A 6,736-nucleotide genomic window follows, 5' to 3' on the forward strand; every position below is an offset into this window, starting at 1 on the left:
TGGCTCTCGGGTGTTTTCTGAATTGCTCCGAGAAGCTCCCTATCAAATATCTGTTTGCCAGGCTTATTCCATGGGCATGGCTCAGGCTAAGTGGTGGGGGTGGGGTGAGGACACAATTAGAAGTCATAGTCCTTGCCTCCTACTTGGTTGACAAGGACACCACAAGGCCGAACGAGCAGTAGTGATCAACAGCAGCAACAGGAACGTGGGCTGGAAATGCTGGAGGTATTCACGGAAGTTGGTCAGTGCATCCTGGTGAGCTCTGACCAGGGGTCTCCACCCTCCCAGCTGGAACCTGGTGGTTGCCATTCCTGAACATCCTCCCCTTCCATTGCCACATCTTACAGATAGATCTCCCAGCTCTGAACATCTTCCCTCGGAAAAATCTCTCAAATTCACTCGTGGCCATTAAAATTTTAAATAATTGCAGGGCGTGATGATTCACACCTGTAATCCCAGCACTTTGGGAGGCTGAGCCGGGAGGATCACTTGAGTTCAGGAGTTCGAGACCAGCCTGGCCAACATGGTGAAACCCCGTCACTACTAAAATTACAATTAGCTGGGCATGGTGGCGGGCACCTGTAATCCCAGCTACTTGGATGGCTGAGGCAGGAGAATCACTTGAACCCGGGAGGCGGAGGTTGCAGTGAGCTGAGATTGCATCACTGCACCCCAACATGAGTGACAGAGCGAGACTCTGTCTCAAAAAAATTTAAAAATAAAAATAACTAAAATAAAATGTTAAATAATTAACAATTAAATAAAATGTAGGTGTCAATTCTTCAGTTGCACAAGCTATATGTCAAGTGCTCAAAAGCACACGTGGCTGGTGGCTACCAAATTGGACAGCACAGAACAGAACATTTCCATCACCGTGGAAAGTTCTCTTGGGCAGCCCTGGGTTAGACAACTTGAGAGGCCAGTTTCTCAGAGCGATTGAGAAAACACTTGAGAGCCAGGTGGCTGGGGTTCCAATCTCTGCCACTTACCGGCTGTGCAACCTTGGGAAAGCTGCACAACCTCTCTGTGCTGCAGTTTCCTCCTCTGTAAAATGACCATCCTAAGATTGTCGGGAGGATTTAATGAGTTAATGCCTACCACATAGCAATTGCTCTATAAATGTTCCTTGTTATTCTAGGTAGGTCACTTCTCTTCCTCTCCACAATACCAGCCTTGCCAGGACCCCCATCAACATCTCTCTCCTGGTGACTCTTCGGCCTCTTCGCCTCCTCTTCTCTCCTGTTCCTTCCCTGAGGTCTATTCTTTCCTGCACAACCAATGTGATATTTTCTCAGCTTTAGACTCTAAAGGGGACATGTGACCATGTCATCCTCCACTGAATCACAATTACCTTGCGGGTAAAGTTCAAAATCCCATATGTGACCAATGACCTATAAAATCTAACCCACCTTCTCTAGTCTCACCACCACTTACCTCTTACACCCTTCAACTCCACACCCCTGCCTACTGAAATACTCAGCACCCCACCCCCTGCCAATTCTCCCTGTTATTCCTCACTTCCAGGCTTTCCGCTAGGCTGTTCTCTCTCTCCTCCCACCCTCAAGCTCCTCTCTGTGCTTGGGTAATTCTAGTGGCCTCCCAGTCTTGCCTTGGATAACATTTCTTAGGGAGAAGTCTCAGCTTCCTCATCTATAAAATGGAGCTACATCTACTTCTTAGAGTGATATGGTTTGGCTGTGTCCCCATCCAAATCTCATCTTGAATTCCCACGTGTTGTGGGAGAGACCTGGTGGGAGATAATTGAATCAAGGGGGCAGGTCTTTCCCATGCTGTTCTCATGATAGTGAATAAATCTCACGAGATCTGATGGTATTATAAGGGGGAGTTTTCCAGCCCAATCTCTCTCTTTGCCTGCTGCCATCCATGTAAGATGTGACTTGCTCCTTCTTGCCTTCCACCATGATTATGAGGCTTCCCCAGCCACGTGGAACTGTAAGTCCAATTAAACCTCTTTCTTTTGTAAATTGCCCAGTCTTGGGTATGTCTTTATCAGCAGCATGAAAATGGACTAATACAGGGAGATATGAGCATCTGAGAGGCCAATGTATCTGATGAAGCACTAAGCACAGTGCCCAGTACACAGTAGGTGCTCAATAATGGTAGCTACAGTTACTATCATCTTGCCACTACAAACACCTGTCATGCTTTATCACCCAGCTCAACCAAATATACCATTTCAGAAGTGCCCCATCCCTCTTAGAATAAAATTCAATTCCTCACCAAGGCTGATGTAGCCAGCCTCTAGAGGGTCCTAGTGGCTCCCACCTTGGTGTTCCTGCTCCTGGGCCATGCCCTCCTAAATGGGCAACACAAGGCTACTGCAGAAATGAGATGTATGACTTCCAAGTCTAGGTCATAAAAGATGTGTGGCTTCTGCACTGCTGTCTTGGATCACCCACCTTGGGGGAAGCTGGCTGCCGTGTTGTGAGGACACACAGGCAGCCTTTTGGAGAGGCCCATGTAGTAAGAAACTGAGGCCTCCTGCCCACAGCCCGCATTTCAGTCAACCCTTCAGATGACTGCAGCCACAGCCAATGGCTTGACTCAGGAAAAACCCTGAACCACCCAACTAATCTGTTCCTGAGCCACAGAAACTATGAGATGATAAATACTTGCTCGTTTAAGCTACAATGTCCAGGGGGAAGCAACAGAAAACGAATGCAACGGCCTCTGAGGTCCGGCCCTACCCACCTATCTGGTCTCCCATCTACTCCCCATGAGCCAGACACCTCCTGGCTTTTGTGCTTCCTTCCCTTTGGCCTGGGACCCTTTGTCCCTACATGTCTATGGCTGGCTTCTTCCATCTTCTCAGCCTCAGTTTAAATGCCATCCTGTGAATGCATTCTTCCATGACCCTCACCTCTGAAATAGGTTCCTCTGCCCTGAAGCTCAACCCCACCCCACAAATCTCAGTCCCAACGCCCTGTCATATTTCTTTATAGCATTTATCACTTACCACAAATAAATTACATATTCATTTGTGTATTCTATGTCTCCTTTGCCTCCCAACTAAAATATCAACTCTACGAAGGCAGGAACTTTGTTTTATTCCCTGCCGTGTCCTCAGCACCTAGAATGATGCCTGGCATACGGTCGGACCTCAAAAATGTTTGTTGAGTGAATAACACAATATGAAATTGTCTCATCTGTTTGTTTACTTGGTTATGACTCATCTCTCCGCTAGACTAGGAAAATAGGGCCATGTCTGTCTTACTCGGGACTTGGCATGGTGTCTGGAACGGGTGGTACTCAGTCAATTATCCTATCTAGCATCTGTGACGGACACAGGGACTAACTCATTTGGGTCTCACAACAATTCTCTAAGATGAAGGCCACTATTATCCCCATTTTGCAGGAGGGGCGGGACAAACTGAGGCAGAGAGGCCCAAGGTCAGCAAATAGTAAGCGACAGAGTGTGAATGTGGAGAGTGGCAGCCTGGCTCCAGAGCCAGACTCCCAGGTCCTGTCTATGTTTGGTGAATGAATGAACGACAGGCACAACCATGATGGTCTGGCCACCTGCTCAGCCCGCTGGAGAGAACCCTCGCTCCGTCACATGGCCGAGGAGGTGGGTGAGGTGCTCAGCTGGGGTTGGCAGAGGAGAAGGAACGGGGCGGTGGCTGGCAGCTGGGGAGGCCTTCCCCATCTCCTAGCGATGGAAAGTTTCACCTCATCCGGAAAGAACTCCCAGTTCCATGGTTGTGGCAGAGAGTGAGGTGTCTCCCCAGCCGGGTTCGTTTCAAAATACATTGTCTTGCTTTTAATAGCCTCCCTGATCAGCTCTTGGAGGTTCTCATGACTGACTGTTCCCAAAATAATACCCGGCGCCGCTTTTTCCAACTCAGAAGTGCTGAATCTTGCTACCTCCCAATCAGCCGCTGGCTGCTGCAAAGAACTGTGGTAATCCCAGGGTCCCCCAAGACAGAATGTAACCCAACAGGGAGGTTTCTGAGGCATTTGGAGAGAACCCCGATGTTCCTCGGCAGCTCACAGGGCTGCTGACAGCAAGTTTCCGGTGACAGCCTGCCCATCCACGGGGCTCCCTCGCTGCTCCCAGCTGCTGAACTGAGATGTGACAGTGGCCAGCGGCAGCCCTAGGAACGCCCCGGCCCTCAGAGATGGAGAAGATTTTCCTAGAAGCTGGAGAGCTGACGTGGAGTGAGAGGGAATTGGCTTTTGGCCCTAGAGGCTGCGATCAGCTTGGCTTGTCTTTCTCCCTCTGTGGGTAGAAGAAGCGGGGCGGTATCTCGTTTGCAGTTTTTTGAGAGTGAACCTTGAAACATCAAGCATCTCTCCTGTGAAAGGAAAGGACTGAAGTACCTATAGCTAGACTATTTTTTCTTATATTTTAAAAATCAGACAGGCTATCTTCTTCCTTTGTGTATTCATTCAATAGACATTGTCATGTACCTAAAATATTCCAAGCACTTGGGATGCAGCTGCGAGCAAAACAGATGCAGGTGCTGCCCTACAAGGCTTTCAGTCTAGCGGGGAGACTCAGAGGAAACACACAAATATAGACAACACAGTTGAGTGGTGACGTGTGCCAAGAAAAACACATAAAGGAGAGCAGGAAGATATGGAGGGCTGGGGAAAGGAGCCTTTTTTAGTCAGGGTGGTCTGGAAGACTTCACAGAAGAGGTGACACTGAGGAGAACTGAATGGCTTAAGGGAGCTGGCCATGCAGACAGCTGAGAAAATGCATTGCAAGCTGCGAGAACAAGACGTGCAAAGGCCCTGAGGCAGTATCCTGTAAAATAGGGAGCCTGCCATCACCAGAAAGAGTCATTTTTTTCATGCATTTGACAAGTTTTCTGGGCACTGCCATGGGGCCCTGAACTTCATGCTGAAGATACAGACAGAAAACAAGACAGAAATTAATCTCTTCAGGGAGTTCATGCAGTCGGGGCGAGAGAGGTCAACTGACAGTACAAAACAGTGGGCAAGTGCAAGGATGGAGGAGGCTTGGGAGCCGAGAAATATGTGGGAGGGCACAAAACCTGGTCACGTTGGGGTGCTGGGGTAGGCCTTCAAGAGCAGTGACATCTAAACAGAGTCAATCCATAATCATAGTCGCTAAAATTTATTGAGTATTCACGTTGCACTTTGTCCTATTCCAAGTGCTTGACATGTGTATTAGTCTGTTTTCATTAGACATACCCAAGACTGGGTAATTTATAAAGGAAAGAGATTTAATTGACCTCACAGTTTCACATGGCTGGGAGGCCTCAGGAAACTTACAATCATGGCAGAAGGGGAAGCAAACGTGTCCTTCTTCATATGGCAGCAGCAAGGAGAAGTGCCCAGCAAAAGGGAGAAAAACCCCTTATAAAACCATCAGATCTCGTGAGAACTCACTCACTATCACAAGAACAGCATGAGGGTAACCAATTCCATGATTCAATTACCTCCCACTGGATCCCTCCCATGACGTGGGGATTATGGAAACTACAATTCAAGGTGAGATTTGGGTGGGGACACAACCAAACCATATCAACATGTATTAGCTTGTCTAATCCTCCTAGCCTTTGAAAATTCAAATATTTCCCCTTTTCACAGATGACAAGAGAGGCCAAATGACTTGCCCTAGGCCACATAGTGGAAGAGCTGGAAATCAAACCTTTAAAGAGGTGGGACATATTCTCCACTTTCCCTTCTCTCCTTCCCGCTAAAATATGGATTTGATGGTAAGAGCTTGAGCAGCCATCATGGGCCATGAGGTAGAAACTGTGTTAAGGAAGACAGAGCTGACAGATAGAAGGAGTTCAGGTCCCTAATGACCAGGGAGCCTCCACAGCAACCCTAGATCTCCACCCACATTCTTCTTGAGAGCGAAATAAATATCTAACTTACTTAAGCCATTGCTGTCTAGGGATCTTTAGTACGACAGCTAAACCTGTGCCCTAACCAATATGGATTCTAAGAGTAATGAAGAACCATCGAGTATGGGGACTCTGAGTGACACGAACAGATATGCACTTTAGAAAGATGGCCATAGCTGAAGTTAAGAGTCAGGCTCGGCCGGGCACAGTGGCTCACGCCTGTAATCCCAGCACTTTGGGAGGCTGAGGCGGGCAGATCACAAGGTCAGGGGTTTGAGACCAGCCTGGCCAACATGGTGAAATCCCATCTCTACTAAAAATACAAAAATTAGCCCGGTGTGGTGGCGGGCACCTGTAATCCCAGCTACTCGGGAGGCTGAGGCAGGAGAATCGCTTGAACCCAGGAGGCAGAGGGTGCGGTGAGCCTAGACTGTGCCATTGCACTCCAGCCTGGGGGACAGAGCAAGACTCCATCTTAAAAAAAGAGTCATAGCTTCAGGAGATATACCTAATGCTAAATGACAAGTTAATGGGTGCAGCACACCAGCATGGCACATGTAAACATATGTAACTAACCTGCACATTGTGCACATGTACCCTAAAACTTAAAGTATAATAATAATGAAATAAAATAAAATAAAATAAAATAAAGAGTCAGGCTCCAGGGCCAGCTGGTCTGTGTTCAGATCCCAGCTCTGCTTCTCCCTAGCTGGGTGGCCTTTGGCAGGTTACTTAACTTCTCTGTGCCTGGGTTTCCTCGGGTACAAAATGAAAGTAATATTACCCATTGGAGAGCTGTTGTGAGGATGAAATGAGTTAGCACATGGAATGGTGCTTAAAATAGCACCTGGCAGATATAAGAACCTTAGGCTCTGTGGGTGCCTGGGACCACG

General features: G+C 48.0%; 1 annotated feature.

Annotated features, from left to right (window-relative positions):
* Positions 3,522 to 4,022: an enhancer, noted in NCBI's record as "H3K4me1 hESC enhancer chr20:50186888-50187388 (GRCh37/hg19 assembly coordinates)". NCBI's record gives its function as "activates a minimal SCP1, AML or CMV promoter by ChIP-STARR-seq in primed H9 embryonic stem cells {active_cell/tissue: H9 hESC(primed)}" and the evidence as "EXISTENCE:reporter gene assay evidence [ECO:0000049][PMID:30033119]".

This window comes from Homo sapiens, chromosome 20 (genome assembly GCF_000001405.40).
Source record: "Homo sapiens chromosome 20, GRCh38.p14 Primary Assembly".
In the NCBI taxonomy this organism is placed as follows: Eukaryota; Metazoa; Chordata; class Mammalia; order Primates; family Hominidae; genus Homo; species Homo sapiens.